The sequence below is a fragment of the Homo sapiens genome, chromosome 5, assembly GCF_000001405.40.
Source record: "Homo sapiens chromosome 5, GRCh38.p14 Primary Assembly".
NCBI lineage: Eukaryota > Metazoa > Chordata > Mammalia > Primates > Hominidae > Homo > Homo sapiens.
Genome location: NC_000005.10, coordinates 140,665,244 through 140,679,183, shown reverse-complemented (window position 1 = coordinate 140,679,183; position 13,940 = coordinate 140,665,244). Strand labels below are relative to the sequence as shown.

The 13,940-nt window shown below is 51.2% G+C and overlaps 3 protein-coding genes and 1 long non-coding RNA gene across 12 annotated transcripts in view, besides 3 other annotated features; 3 read left to right on the top strand and 1 right to left on the bottom strand.

Moving 5' to 3' along the window:
* The window catches only part of HARS1 (histidyl-tRNA synthetase 1), a 17,466-nt gene extending 12,187 nt beyond the window's left edge, over window positions 1–5,279 (top strand). For 3 of the 7 annotated variants that reach the window (NM_001289094.2, NM_001258040.3, NM_002109.6), the window contains 9 exons: window positions 57–182; window positions 1,169–1,276; window positions 1,431–1,529; window positions 1,764–1,857; window positions 2,068–2,195; window positions 2,288–2,530; window positions 4,051–4,167; window positions 4,359–4,505; window positions 4,856–5,279. In NM_001289094.2, coding sequence (NP_001276023.1) covers window positions 57–182; window positions 1,169–1,276; window positions 1,431–1,529; window positions 1,764–1,857; window positions 2,068–2,195; window positions 2,288–2,530; window positions 4,051–4,167; window positions 4,359–4,505; window positions 4,856–4,927 — 1,134 coding nt within the window. In that variant the 3' untranslated portion in view covers window positions 4,928–5,279. The remainder of the gene's footprint in view (window positions 1–56; window positions 183–1,168; window positions 1,277–1,430; window positions 1,530–1,763; window positions 1,858–2,067; window positions 2,196–2,287; window positions 2,531–4,050; window positions 4,168–4,358; window positions 4,506–4,855) is intronic. The other 4 variants (NM_001258042.3, NM_001258041.3, NM_001289093.2 and 1 more) reach the window with 2 other exon arrangements.
* Window positions 880–1,129: an enhancer, noted in NCBI's record as "active region_23284". NCBI's record gives its function as "activates an Ori minimal core promoter by ATAC-STARR-seq in GM12878 lymphoblastoid cells {active_cell/tissue: GM12878}" and the evidence as "EXISTENCE:reporter gene assay evidence [ECO:0000049][PMID:35858748]".
* Window positions 5,143–5,938: an enhancer, noted in NCBI's record as "H3K27ac-H3K4me1 hESC enhancer chr5:140052831-140053626 (GRCh37/hg19 assembly coordinates)". NCBI's record gives its function as "activates a minimal SCP1, AML or CMV promoter by ChIP-STARR-seq in naive H9 embryonic stem cells {active_cell/tissue: H9 hESC(naive)}" and the evidence as "EXISTENCE:reporter gene assay evidence [ECO:0000049][PMID:30033119]".
* On the top strand, window positions 5,608–8,390 carry DND1 (DND microRNA-mediated repression inhibitor 1). The gene is made up of 4 exons (NM_194249.3): window positions 5,608–5,665; window positions 5,796–5,913; window positions 6,278–6,739; window positions 7,434–8,390. The coding sequence occupies exons 1-4, from the start codon at window positions 5,642–5,644 to the stop codon at window positions 7,889–7,891; spliced, it is 1,062 nt and encodes a 353-aa protein (NP_919225.1). The 5' UTR covers window positions 5,608–5,641; the 3' UTR covers window positions 7,892–8,390.
* Window positions 5,939–6,734: an enhancer, noted in NCBI's record as "H3K27ac-H3K4me1 hESC enhancer chr5:140052035-140052830 (GRCh37/hg19 assembly coordinates)". NCBI's record gives its function as "activates a minimal SCP1, AML or CMV promoter by ChIP-STARR-seq in naive H9 embryonic stem cells {active_cell/tissue: H9 hESC(naive)}" and the evidence as "EXISTENCE:reporter gene assay evidence [ECO:0000049][PMID:30033119]".
* The window catches only part of WDR55 (WD repeat domain 55), a 7,442-nt gene continuing 340 nt past the window's right edge, over window positions 6,839–13,940 (bottom strand). Inside the window, exons 2-8 of one of the 3 annotated variants that reach the window (XM_017009600.3) lie at window positions 12,071–12,140; window positions 10,850–10,950; window positions 10,682–10,769; window positions 10,393–10,572; window positions 10,194–10,293; window positions 9,936–10,105; window positions 6,839–9,851 (exon numbers count right to left, since the gene is read on the bottom strand). In XM_017009600.3, coding sequence (XP_016865089.1) covers window positions 9,530–9,851; window positions 9,936–10,105; window positions 10,194–10,293; window positions 10,393–10,469 — 669 coding nt within the window. In that variant the 5' untranslated portion in view covers window positions 10,470–10,572; window positions 10,682–10,769; window positions 10,850–10,950; window positions 12,071–12,140 and the 3' untranslated portion in view covers window positions 6,839–9,529. The remainder of the gene's footprint in view (window positions 9,852–9,935; window positions 10,106–10,193; window positions 10,294–10,392; window positions 10,573–10,681; window positions 10,770–10,849; window positions 10,951–12,070; window positions 12,141–13,940) is intronic. The other 2 variants (XM_005268469.4, NM_017706.5) reach the window with 2 other exon arrangements.
* Window positions 13,747–13,940, top strand: part of LOC124901088 (uncharacterized) — a 3,027-nt gene continuing 2,833 nt past the window's right edge. Inside the window, exon 1 of the long non-coding RNA XR_007058968.1 lies at window positions 13,747–13,819. This is a non-coding gene — a long non-coding RNA (uncharacterized LOC124901088). The remainder of the gene's footprint in view (window positions 13,820–13,940) is intronic.

Here is a 13,940-nt window from a genome sequence, read left to right as displayed (position 1 = left end):
TAATCAACTTGCAGACAGTGATAGGAGGGGCTTTCTCCTTAACTCTTTGTCATCAGGTTCCTTTTGCTCGGTATTTGGCAATGAATAAACTGACCAACATTAAACGCTACCACATAGCAAAGGTATATCGGCGGGATAACCCAGCCATGACCCGTGGCCGATACCGGGAATTCTACCAGTGTGTGAGTGTTGGGAAACCGTGGGGCAGGATGAGTTACTTGGGGCTCTCTCAAGCCAGCAGAATCTATTGAGTACTCACGGTGTCCTGAGCAAATTGGATGACCCAGATAATGCTCTTAGGGTTTCTATGGTGGTTTTTTTGTTTGTTTTTTGTTTTTTTGAGACGGAGTCTCGCTCTGTTGCCCAAGCTGGAGTGCAGTGGTGCAGTCTTGGCTCACTGCAACCTCTGCCTCCTGGGTTCAAACGATTCTTCTGCCTCAGCCACCTGAGTAGCTGGGATTACAGGCGCCTGCCACTATGCCCGGCTAATTTTTTGTATTTTTAGTAGAGACGGGGTTTTACCATGTTGGCCAGGCTGGTCTCGAACTCCTGGTCTCATGATCCGCCTGCCTCGGCCTCCCAAAGTGCTGGGATTACAGGCGTGAGCCACCGCACCCAGCCTCTTCTATGGTGTTTTCATGCAGATTTCACAAAATCCCTGTGGTGGGGGAGGAGAATAAAGTCTCTTCATTTTACATATGAGTAAACTTGATACCCAGCCCATGAAGAGATCATAGGGATAAGAAAGGCAAAGTCAGGACTAGAACTCTTGGTCCAGTGCTCTTTATTTTAAACCACAGTGATAGGATCACAGCAGAGAATAAGGAAATTAGCTTTGATACATCAAATCATCCAGACTGATGCCAGGGCTTCTGGATGAATAGGGAAAATGGCTAAGCACTAAAGCCATATAATCACCCCATCCAGTAGGAGGAGTTAAGAAGATGATGAAGTAGAAAATGAAGGAATAGCCCAGTAGATGGAAAGGAAACCAAAACTGGTGAGAAGCCCAAAGATGCCGGGGTTTACCTCTGGGCTGATGATCAGAAAATGAAAGAGAAATTCTATGCTTGAGTGCAACCAGGCCTTCCTAGAGGACAGAGCTCCCAGAGTCCCCCCTTCAGAAAGGTGAATCCCTGAAGACCGCTGGCTAACCCTCTCCCTGCAGGATTTTGACATTGCTGGGAACTTTGATCCCATGATCCCTGATGCAGAGTGCCTGAAGATCATGTGCGAGATCCTGAGTTCACTTCAGATAGGCGACTTCCTGGTCAAGGTCAGAGCTGACAAGGCTGGGAGGGCAAAGTTGGGCCTGGCCTCTCACAAGAGAAGATCCTTGTGCAGAGGGACCAGTAGCCTAAGTGACCATGACTATTGCAGGTCATGTAAGAAAAGAGATTCCCCCCTCACTATGCATTGGTTCCTTGCAGGTAAACGATCGACGCATTCTAGATGGGATGTTTGCTATCTGTGGTGTTTCTGACAGCAAGTTCCGTACCATCTGCTCCTCAGTAGACAAGCTGGACAAGGTAACAACCCAAGTACTTGACTTCTTTTCCCAGATCCCACCCTGCCTTGGGAAATGGAAAACAAGATTGAGAGAGAGAGAGGTGCATGCCTCTATACCCACCAGAGGAAGGTTAGCCCCAGGATGTAGGCTCATGGGCAGCTACTGCTCTAAAACGGTTCCCCGAGGACAGTACACACTTGCTCTGTGGTGCGGAAGCTGCCCAGGGGTCCCTGACTGGTGTCTGTCTGCCTAGGTGTCCTGGGAAGAGGTGAAGAATGAGATGGTGGGAGAGAAGGGCCTTGCACCTGAGGTGGCTGACCGCATTGGGGACTATGTCCAGCAACATGGTGAGGAACAGAACCAAGCCTCCCCAGCAGCCGTCCCACTGCCCTCAGTCCTAAAGTTGAAACTGTTCTGTGTTATGTATGTAGGGGAGTGAGTGTGTCTATGCATATGTACACACACATGCATGGGCGACTAGAGTCCAGGCAAGAAGGTCAACCCTCCTTACCTTTTTTGTTTCCTTGTCAGCCTCACTCACAAGTCTGTCTCCCCAGGTGGGGTATCCCTGGTGGAACAGCTGCTCCAGGATCCTAAACTATCCCAAAACAAGCAGGCCTTGGAGGGCCTGGGAGACCTGAAGTTGCTCTTTGAGTACCTGACCCTATTTGGCATTGATGACAAAGTGAGTCAAGTTGGGGACGGGATCCCTTCTGAGCTCTGGGGCTTCAGGTCCCTGATCTTAATCTGGCACTGACCATTTTCTTATCTCCACAGATCTCCTTTGACCTGAGCCTTGCTCGAGGGCTGGATTACTACACTGGGGTGATCTATGAGGCAGTGCTGCTACAGACCCCAGCCCAGGCAGGGGAAGAGCCCCTGGGTGTGGGCAGTGTGGCTGCTGGAGGACGCTATGATGGGCTAGTGGGCATGTTCGACCCCAAAGGGCGCAAGGTGCCATGTGTGGGGCTCAGCATTGGGGTGGAGCGGATTTTCTCCATCGTGGAACAGAGACTAGAGGTAGGTCCTAGGAGGTAGGTAGAAGATAGTCTGAGCAGGTGGTGGCACCTAAGCTATCTGATCTCCAAGGGAGCAAGTGGTGCTGCTTTGGGCAGGGAGCATCTCACAGAAATGGAGAAAAGATTATTGCTCTTTTTCACAGATTTCTACCCCATTATATGTAAGTTTTATGGATCTTTAATCCATAATCTTTCTGCACTCAATCCTCTGCTCTGGGTCTCTACTTCCTTCAGGGCTGTCACAAACCTGGGCTGGTGTATCCAAGACTTAGATCTTCCTCATGATACGGAATACTTAACATTTTACTGCCTTGTGCCAGGCACTGTGCTTGGTGCTTTTCATGCATTATCAAAATATAATTGTTACTACAGCCCTGTGAGAGTAGCTAATTTTATTAATTGCATTTTCCAGATGAGAACACTGAAGCATTATAGATCAAATAATTTGCTTAAGGCCATGAAACTTGTAAGTGGTAGGGTCAGAATTTGAATCCAGGCAGTCTGACTCCAAAGTCTTGCCACTAACCACACTGCAATACTGTCTCTAAATGGGAAGCATGTGTCTGAGGCCCTGGGATCCCTCAGATGGCTACCGTGACTCTCTAGCACCTAGAGTAACACCAAGGAAGCCTCTTGTAGCCTCAAGCCCTCCTTTGTTGCTGCTGGTCTTAAGTGGCTGGTTGCATTTCATCTTCTGGGAAATGCTCTGGCAACCTCCCCACAGTCCTATGCCTTTTCTCTAGGGTGGAAACCACCCATTTCCCAGTTGAGATCATTTTTCCAGTAGGCATCTTACATTCTAAGAACTATGAAAATAGTTTTCCTGAAAAAGACAAGGGAAGCAGCAGCAGCATTCTCCTTTCCCCACACCCATATACACGCCTGTGCCCTGTAACTGAAGTGTGAGAGGCACAGTGTCATAAATGGGTAGATAGTAAGTGGGGACTAAAACTGTCAAGGGTGATCTAATTGGGGTGGGCTCATAGTAGTACTTCTGTGTGAATGCTTTGGTGGACCCTTAAGGTACTACATGGACCAGCCTGGGCAACATGATGAGACCCTGTCTCTACAGATTAAAAAAAAAAATTTTTTTTTTTTTTTAAATTAGCTGAGTATGGTGGTGTGTGCCTGTAGTCAGGAGGCTGAGGTGGGAGGATCACTTGAGCTTGGGAGGTCGAAGCTGCAGTGATCACACCACGGCACTTCAGCCTGGATGACAGAGACCCTGTCTCAAAAAAAAAAAAAAGGTACTACATGGAGATAAGCTTGAAGTTACTGTAAAAAAGCTACCTTTACTCTTGCCCTAAGTTATTTATTCTGATACGTCCTATGTACAAGTCAGTCAGTTCAGTCCTCATATCTACTAAAAGCTACCTTTATGCCCAAGGTGCTAGATGAGAAGACAGGGCCCCTGCCCTGGTAGAGCTGAGTTGGGCCTGGTCTCAAAATCCCGACTAGAGCCTGCTTTGTTTGCTCCTTGAAGGTGTTAGCCCAGCTCTCTTTTATCTGCCCCTTCCCCAGGCTTTGGAGGAGAAGATACGGACCACGGAGACACAGGTGCTTGTGGCATCTGCACAGAAGAAGCTGCTAGAGGAAAGACTAAAGCTTGTCTCAGAACTGTGGGATGCTGGGATCAAGGTATGGGAGGCAAGCCCCAGGGTGGCAGCAAACTTAGGTGTGCTGGACACAAACTGAATAAAAGCTCACCCATAATGGATCCTGCCATTACTTCTCAAAAGTAGAGCTAAGAACAGGGTGCCAGCTTGGACACCCTCTGTCCCTGAGGACAGCAGAAGCCAGCCTTCATCTTCTGCTCTTGTCCCCTGCAGGCTGAGCTGCTGTACAAGAAGAACCCAAAGCTACTGAACCAGTTACAGTACTGTGAGGAGGCAGGCATCCCACTGGTGGCTATCATCGGCGAGCAGGAACTCAAGGATGGGGTCATCAAGCTCCGTTCAGTGACGAGCAGGGAAGAGGTGAGGGAGGTGGGCAGGAAGGCTAAGGGACAGAGAATGTATGCCATTTTGGCAGGCCCATGCCCATTCAAGACCTGAGAAAAAGCCTGGCATTGATATTAGTACAACTCATAAAAGCCTTGAGGGCTTAACCTGTTACTGTGGTCTTAGTAGGGTGAGATCTCCATCCCTGCATATACCTTATGGTTTGTTGGCTCCCCCAAGAGGCACACTCTAGCCTGAGGTGTTTAATTAGGTTCCTGCTCCCAGCTGAGACAAGCCTGATGCCTAGAGGGCTAGAGGAAACTAGGCACTCGGGGAGCAGTGGAATGGAAGATGCTTATACCACCTTCTTCTCCCATCCTGGCCAGGTGGATGTCCGAAGAGAAGACCTTGTGGAGGAAATCAAAAGGAGAACAGGCCAGCCCCTCTGCATCTGCTGAACTGAACAAACTATCAGAGGAAAGGAAGTGGGACTGGCACTATTTGAGGTTAAGACAAACTGCATATGTACTTCAATTGCTTTGCACTTTTCCGTTTCAGCGGAAGACCTGAAGAGTGGTCAGAACAGAGCCTTTGATTTTTATTATGGTTATTTTATTGATTATTACTGGCAAAAACGGCCAGGTACAACACCTTTTTCATACAAGGCCCAGGAGGCTTAGTCCAGTCTGTGCTCCTGGGCTACAAGGACCCAGCCTGAGATGGTCCCATCTGCAGGGCCCCGCACCAGTTGGAGCAGATGCCTCCCCACCACCAATTGCCAAAGGTCCAATAAAATGCCTCAACCACGGAGTCTGCGTGTGTCAGTGATGCCTAGCCCCGCCTTCCCCAGCAGACCAATGTAGGGATGGAAAAGGGAGAAAAACAGTAAACTTGTGACCCTGAGGTTCTTGTCTCCAGCGTCCACCCTGCGGCTTGGGAGCTCCTCCTCGGGAGGCAGCCCCCGTACATACGCACCCGCGACTTTGCAGCTTTCACCTGAAGGTCTGAGCGAAGCCCGGGCGGCGCACGTGCAGTGGATACCTCCACCCCCCTGGGAGGCGGGGTCGCGCTCAGAGCCAATGAGAGCTTGCGGGGTGGAGGGGTAGGGAAGCTTCCAGAGGCCGGTGGGGAGGAAGTTATAAAGAGGGTACGAGGGGGCCAGCTGGAGAGCCATGCAGTCCAAGCGGGATTGTGAGGTAAGCGGCTGGCGACTTGGGGGCCGGCGAGCCCCGCCGGAGCGGGGGTCGGCTTTAGGGACCCCAGTACCACAGGAGAGGTGGGGGCGCGCTTGGCGATCCGCCATTCCAACCTTCCTTTCCCTCTCAGCTGTGGTGTGAGAGGGTGAATCCAGAGAACAAGGCGGCGCTGGAGGCGTGGGTCAGGGAGACAGGCATCCGCCTGGTGCAGGTGAACGGGCAGAGGAAGTATGGCGGGCCACCCCCAGGTACGGTAGTCCCAGCCCCTCCGCCTGTCCGGCTACACCAGCCCCCTTTGGGGGAGGGGCTGCTCCGAGCCTTCACTGTCAGAAACTGCGAACTACCCGGATTTATACCCCCCAGCAAAGGAGGAACTGTGGCTCCACGTCCACCCGCCCCGTCGAGGGAGGGGGCCAATCTCAAGGTGTACCTACTCTGTGCCAGCCCCCTTGTTAGCGCAGTCACCTAATTATGCCAACCACCCAGGGTACGGGTGTAAACCCATTTCACAGACCTTTGTTCACATCGCCTCCCACCCCCGCGCGCTGGGTCCGTGGGCTCAGAATTCGAAAGCGTCGCCTGACGGTGGCCTTGCATACCCTCTTCCCACAGGCTGGGTGGGCAGCCCGCCGCCAGCTGGGTCAGAGGTGTTCATCGGGCGGCTGCCTCAGGACGTGTACGAGCACCAGCTTATCCCGCTGTTCCAGCGCGTGGGCCGCCTCTACGAGTTCCGCCTGATGATGACCTTCAGCGGCCTGAACCGCGGCTTCGCCTATGCCCGCTACAGCTCGAGGCGCGGCGCGCAGGCCGCCATCGCCACGCTGCACAACCATCCGCTGCGGCCGTCCTGCCCGCTGCTCGTGTGCCGCAGCACCGAGAAGTGTGAGCTGAGCGTTGACGGCCTGCCGCCGAATCTGACCCGCAGCGCGCTGCTGCTCGCGCTGCAGCCGCTGGGTCCCGGCTTGCAGGAGGCGCGGCTGCTGCCCAGCCCCGGACCGGCGCCCGGGCAGATCGCTCTGCTCAAATTCAGCTCGCACCGGGCCGCTGCCATGGCCAAAAAGGCCCTGGTGGAAGGTAGGCTGGGGCGGGGGTGCTGGTTGGGGCCAAACGCGTTCTGCCCGGCACTTTATACTGAGCATAGCTGTTAAAGTTACAAGATCTTAGAGTCAAACATGCCAGAATTTGCAACCTTTTACTATTTGATCTCAGATTTTTAAAACTTCCAATGGTGCTACCACCACCGCTTACCTAAATTTGTGACACTTCCCGAGCATTACCTCCTGACTTAATTCTCAACCTTCCCCCACCCCCACACCGCAAAATAGGCACAGGACCCTCAAGCTATGAGGAAACTGTTAGAGAAATTGATTTGCTCAAGGGAATCCAACTGAGCTTTTTACTACTATAGAATCTGTTTCCTCAGACTGTTATGAGAATTAAGTAACATAATGGGTGTACGGTACTTAGCACACTGACTGACTTACAGCAAGTTTTCCCAGTAAAGATTAGCCATTATGATGGTTATGAGGCAGACAAAGCCTGCAATTAACCAGTACTTCTCCAAGGAAACTTGTAAGGTAGCAGTGTGTTATACTCCCTTTGCAAATAATGGAGGCTGAAGGCTTCATTGTCTTTTCTTACCCATGGTCACACTACCAGGAAATGGGAAGGCTACAAATAACAGGACTGTGTAGCTCCAAAGGGCTCACCACCTGGAGGCTTGGGCCCAGGGTTTAGACCTGCCCTTGTCTTTGCATTTTTCCTACAGGGCAGTCACACCTCTGTGGAGAGCAGGTGGCTGTGGAGTGGCTCAAGCCAGACCTGAAGCAGCGACTTCGCCAGCAGCTTGTGGGTCCCTTCTTGCGGTCCCCACAGCCAGAGGGCAGCCAGTTGGCTTTGGCAAGGGACAAGTTAGGGTTCCAAGGGGCTCGGGCTACCCTGCAGTTGCTGTGCCAACGAATGAAGCTGGGCAGCCCTGTGTTCCTCACCAAGTGTTTGGGCATAGGACCTGCTGGCTGGCACCGCTTCTGGTACCAGGTGGTGATTCCTGGGCATCCGGTGCCCTTCAGCGGCCTCATCTGGGTTGTGCTGACCCTAGATGGCCGGGATGGGCATGAGGTGGCCAAGGATGCTGTGTCTGTACGGCTGCTGCAGGCACTCAGTGAGTCTGGGGCCAACCTCCTGTGGTCTGCTGGGGCTGAGGCAGGTACCATGGTTAAACAGTGACTCCATTCTTTCTCCACAGGCACCCTGAATGGGCATGCAGAGCCTGTGTCAGGCCCCATCCCAGCAGGCCTGGGTGGCCACTTTCTGACCCCCAAAGGTGGGGAGGGGCATGGGCCCAGGCCCATCAGCCTCCCTGCTGGGACAGGGACCTATGGCACCTGGGGGCAGCTTAGGTTTGGGTTAAGTTGTGGTGAGGGGCCTTGCCCTCCCGCTCCCAGCCCAGGGTCCAACCTGACCCAGTGATCTTCCATGGCCGTTCCTTGTCCCACCCCCACCCGATCATACCTTCCCCCCTCTGCCACAGCTTAGCATGAATCTTCTTTATTGTCCTGATTTGTCCTCTTTGTTGGTTTTTATTTGTGGGGAAGGGCAGCTGAGCCAAAGGGGTCAGAAATTCTGCCCTTTGCCTCCACCACATGGCATTCTGGTTTTGGTTTCTGTATAGTTTTGGGTCTTTCTATGCTGGTTGTATTTATATTAAACCCCTGGTTAGTATATACTTGTGTCTGTGCTGTCTTGCCCTAGCTTAGAGTTTGTTTACACTGGTAGAGTGAATAGCTGCTACGGGGCAAGTACTTCCTCACATCAGTGCTTTGAGTGCATCTTCTTGTGTTGCACTGTAGGGTATTATAAATTCATATCCAGGCCGGGTGTGTTGGCTTTTGCCTGTAATCCCAGCACTTTGGGAGGCTGAGGCGGGTGGATCACCTGAGGTCAGGAGTTCGAGACCAGCCTGGCCAGCATGGAGAAACCCCGTCTCTACTGAAAATACAAAAATTAGCCTGGCATGGTGGCAGACACCTGTAATCCCAGCTACTTGGGAGGCTGAGGCAGGAGAATTGCTTGAACCCGGGAGGCGGAGGTTGCAGTGAGCCAAGATCACGCCATTGCACTCCAGCCCTGGCAACAAGAGCGAAACCCTGTCTCAAAAAAAAAAAAAAAAAAAATTTCATATCCAGCCAGGCACAGTGGCTCATGCCTGTAATCCCAGCATTTTGGGAGGCCAAGGCAGGAGGATCACTTGAGCCCAGGAGTTCCAAGACCAGCTTGGTCAACATAGTGAAACCCCTGGTCTCTACCAAAAAAAAATCACAAAAATTAGTCAAGCATGGTGGCAGATGCCTGTTAAGTCTCAGCTACCAGGCAGGCTGAGGTGGATCACTTGAGCCCAGGAAGTCAAGGATGCAGTGAGCCATGATCAACCCACTGTACTCCAGCCTGGGTGACAGAGTGAGACCTTGTCTCAAAAAATATAAATTTTTTTGGCCAGGTGTGGTGGCTCGTGCCTGTAATCCCAGCACTTTGGGAAGCAGAGGCAGGTGGATCATTTGAGTCCAGGAGTTGAAGACCAGCCTGGGCAAAACAGACCCGTTTCTACCAAAAAAAAAAAACAAAAATTGGCCTGGTGTGGTAGTGCACACCTGTAGTCCCAGCTGCTCCAGAGGCTAAGGTGGAAGGACAATCTGAGCCTGGGGACATTGAGGCTGCAGTGAGCCAAGATCAAGCCAGCGCACTCCAGCCTGGACGATGGCAAAACCCTGTCTTTTCAAAAAATAATTCATATCCTCTCTGGGGATGCAGCCCAATAAGCAAGACTCTTGCCTGGTGAGGACCCGTCTCAAGATTCAATTCATTCCTTCAGTCACTGTCATCCCCAGTCTCCTCCTTTTCTTCCTGAGCCATGGAGTCTTCTCCCTCTTCCCTCAGTCCTGCGAAGAAGTCATCGGTGCTCCAAGTCTTGCTGCTCAGAGCCCGCAGTGGTCCTCCCTTTTTTTTGCGCCGACGGTAGTCATCCACCACCACAGCTCGCAGCTGGGCCATGTCCCAAAACTTGAGGCGCTGGTCATGGCCACTACTGGCCAGGAAGCGGCCACAGTGGGAGAGGGCCAGCTCCTCCACAGGCTCCCCAGTGTGCTGGCCCACACTGCCCACCACTCGGTTCGGTAGGATGTTCACAGCCCTGGGCAGGGAAAGAACAGTGTTGAGTACTGGCTAGCTGGGTCTGCCCTTCCTGTGACCTAAGGGCTGTCCAGGCTTCCCTCACCTGATGACTCCATCAGTGGAGCCAGTACACAGCAGACTCTCGGTGACTGGAACCATGCAGTCGATAGATTCAGCTCTCAGGGCAAAGCGGTCACTTGTGGCCCCAAAGCCATTCCAATTGAAGAGGTAGATGGTACCTTCACTGGAGCCACAGGCTACCTTCTTCCCCCACTGCAGGGAAATAGAGAAAACAATGTGGAAGCTGCCTCAGACTAAGCCCCCAGCACACACCCCTCCATCCCACCATAACCAGCTGTACTTTCATGAGAGTGACAGAGGTCAGGTCCCCAGACTGAGGTTCTGAGAGCAGCTCAAACCGACGCCTCTTAATGTTGAAGATGCCAAGGCAGCCATCCCCGCTGTAGAGAGTAGAGCAGTAGGCTTAGACGCAAGGTCTATTTGAGGAAGACATTTCACACAGGGAGGGGAGGGGAGGCAAGGCAGCTTTGAAGTTGTACCTGGCTGTCAGCAGCAGCTTTTTGGCTGGATCCAGAGCCATGTCTGCGATGTACTCTTCATGTTGCCTCATATCCATTAAGGGGCCCTCCTTCCGCTGGTCCCAGAGACAGATACCACCTGTGTCATCCCCAGTGGCCAGAACATTCTCATCCACCAGCAGAAGACTATTGATGGGGGCACTAGAGACACAGATGTAGAACTTCTTGGAGCATCTCTGTCCCAGTGGGGACCTCCTGGTCCTTACCCTTCACCTCCATGCACATACACAGAATTGGCTGCTCTCCTTACCCATGAGCCTTGGAAACACGTCTTTCCAGTTGGCCCTGCTCCACATCTAGAACATGGATGGCTTTGTCCTTGGAGACAGTAATGAGCTCTGGGGAAAAGGTGCCCAGGTCATGGTGCTGCTCACTGCTCCCTTCCACCACATTGCTGGTTGTCTTCCCCAGTACTCACTCTGCCCATCTTCAGAGAAGGCCACAGCTCGGCAGGCCTTGAGATGGTGACCTGATGACCAGAGCTCCTTGGTTTCTCCCTCTTGGCAAGAGTAGGAAAAGCTGGGGAGAGGGCAAGGAGGGTAAATGACTCCAGACCCAGCCTGGGTTGCATTGAGTGCAGAGACCAACTAGACAGAGCAGCCTTCCCACCTACCTAAGAGTTCCTGCTTCTACACCTCTAAGCCCAAAAAGTTTACCATCTCATTTCTCCATTTTCAGTGAGTTTGAAATGTTAGGTCCTGCTTTTTTCAATATATGTTAGTTCAAGGTATATTTGCGCAAGATTTCTTTGTGATCCCACCCAACCCCTCTTTATCATCTTTGAAAGCCCCAGCCTGGACAAAGATTGGGTCTGGACCACTGTGGAGGAGATATTTGTTACATCAATGACAAAAGACCAGCCCCAGAAGTTAGAAATCTAAAAATCAGTAAGGTAGAGCAGGCTCTTGCACTTCAGGTCTGCAGGAGCTAGAGAAAGCCACAATTAATTACAGTACATTGAGAGTACGTGCTGAAAAAGAGGCAAGATCAAAATGGAGGTGGGGGAGAGGCACCAGCCTGTAAACAACTTTGAGGTGAGTACTGTTTATGGAATACCCCCAAGTGCCTGCCTCAGAGCAGATCCTCAAAAAGGGCAGAATGAATACATGCTTAATTGCCAGTGAGTTCCAGGTAGGCAGAACTGAGCCTGCTCATTTTCTCTATCCCAGTGCTGAACGTGAAAAAGTAGCTTAATAAACATTCACAAATTGAATGAATACTTGGGAAGGGAGAAGAGAGCCCTGGAAAGCTAAGGTGGTGACATGTGGGTTGGATCATACAAGAGTAGAATTTGCCTGGCAGAGAGCAAGGGCCAGATACTGGAGGCAGCAGAGATAAGGAATGAGGAGGGTTCCTTGTAGCAGGAGAGTAGCATGACTGAATCTAGAAAGATGGGCTGGGGTGGGCATGAGACCACATGAGCCAAGCAGAAGTTTGAATTTAATCCTCGGAAAAGGAACCTTTTCACAATAGTCATGGCTGAGGGTGGGGAAGGGGAGAACCAAGAATTTTCCTCCAGAACCTTTTTTAAGACAAGGGAAGCAACAAAGTTGTGTGGAATGTGAAGAAAGGTGGATGTCTAGGGCAACTCCCAAGTGCCTGGCACCATAAATATGGATAGTAGTAGAAGGGAACCTACATTTGTTGAAGAGCTGCTTAGGTGCTGTACTGCAAACTTGTCCCCTCTGCAAGGGTAGGTATAATTCCCCCTTTCAAAGATGAAAATACAGAAGTTAACACGCTCAAGGCCATTACAGCTAATGAGGGGTTGAGGTTTAAATTCATTAAGTAAATCTGATAAGCATAACATCTTCAACTTTTCCACTGCCTCTAACCTGTATCTTTTGTTCAAAATCAAACATGTGTTGAGCATCTACCCTAGACTAGAGGTTGGAGATAAAATAGAGAACAAAACCGATGACAGATTACACTCCAGAACAGTGTTTTTTCACATTCTAGTCATATAACGGACTAGTAAGCTACGATCAGCATTTTGTGTACATGTACACAATAATAGAATAAAATCAGCAATTGTATCACAGAGCATCATATATAATGTAAAAGGTATTTCTCTGTGAGGCAAGGTCAAAGACGTTTGAAAAACATTAGTGAAGGAGACAGCATTCAAATAATTACACAAATGGACATATGGTTACCAACCATTCATTATTAAGGGAAAGGTACCATGGCACCTGGTGCCATGGCAGCATCTAACAGGTAACCAATTTTAGTCTGGGGAGAGAGGAAGAGGGAAGAGATCCTGGAAACTCAGAGATAGTAGGTAAAAGTGAGGGGAAAGGAGTTTTCCGGACAGAATAGCACATGCAAATGGGCTGAGGTTTCGAGATTTTTTTTTGAGATGGAGTTTTGCTCTTGTTGCCCAGGCTGGAGTGCAATGGCACGATCTCGGCTCACTGCCACCTCCACCTCCCAGGTTCAAGCGATTCTCCTGCCTCAGCCTCCCGAGAAGCTGGGATTACAGGTGCCCGCCACCACACCCAGCTAATTTTTCTATTTTTAGTAGAGACAGGATTTCACCATGTTGGCCAGGCTGGTCTCCAACTCCTGACCTCAGGTGATACCCCACCTTGGTCTCCCAAAGTGCTGGGATTACAGGCATGAGCCACCACGCCCGGCCCAAGACGTATTTTTAAAAGGTATGGATGAATGAGCACAGATGGTCAGGGCGTTGAAGGCAGGATTGAGAAATTTGTACTAAATCCTAAAAGCAGACCATTGAAGGGTTTTAATCAAGGGAGTGTCTCACTCTATTGTCCAAGCTGGAGTGCAGTGGCACGATCTTGGCTCACTGCAACCTCCACCGCCCGAATCCAAGTGATTCTTCTGCCTCAGCCTCCCGTGTAGCTGGGATTACAGGCCCGCGCCACCACACCGGGCTAATTTTTGTATTTTTAGTAGAGACGGGGTTTCACCATGTTGAACAGGCTGGTCTCGAGCTCCAACCTCAGGTGACCCGCCCACCTCGGCCTCCCAAAGTGCGGGTATTACAGGCGTGAGCCAAGATTTGTGGTTTGAAAAATCACTTAAAGGGGCCTGCTGAGCCTGTCTCGGGCACAATATAATAATCCGGTAGGAGTCCGGGCACGGTGGTTTACGCCTGTAATCCCAGCACTCTGGGAGGAAGGCAGGTGGATCACGAGGTCAGGAGTTCAAGACCAGCCTGGCCAAGATGGTGAAACCCCGTCTCTACTACAAATACAAAAAAAATTAGCCGGGCGTGGTGGCGGGCGCTTATAATCCCAGCTACTCGGGAGGCTGAGGAAGAGAACTGCTTGAACCCGGAAGGGGGAGGTTGCAGTGAGCCCAGATCGCGCCACTGCACTCCAGCCTCGGCGACAGAGCGAGACTCCGTCTCAAAAATAAATAGGTAAGTAAATAAATAATAATCGGTGGGAAATAACAAGGCCTTAAAGGGCTTTTTGGCCTACTACGGTATCTGGGCTCTGTCACGACATTCCAGTTCTTTCAACAGATTGGTGTGATAGAAG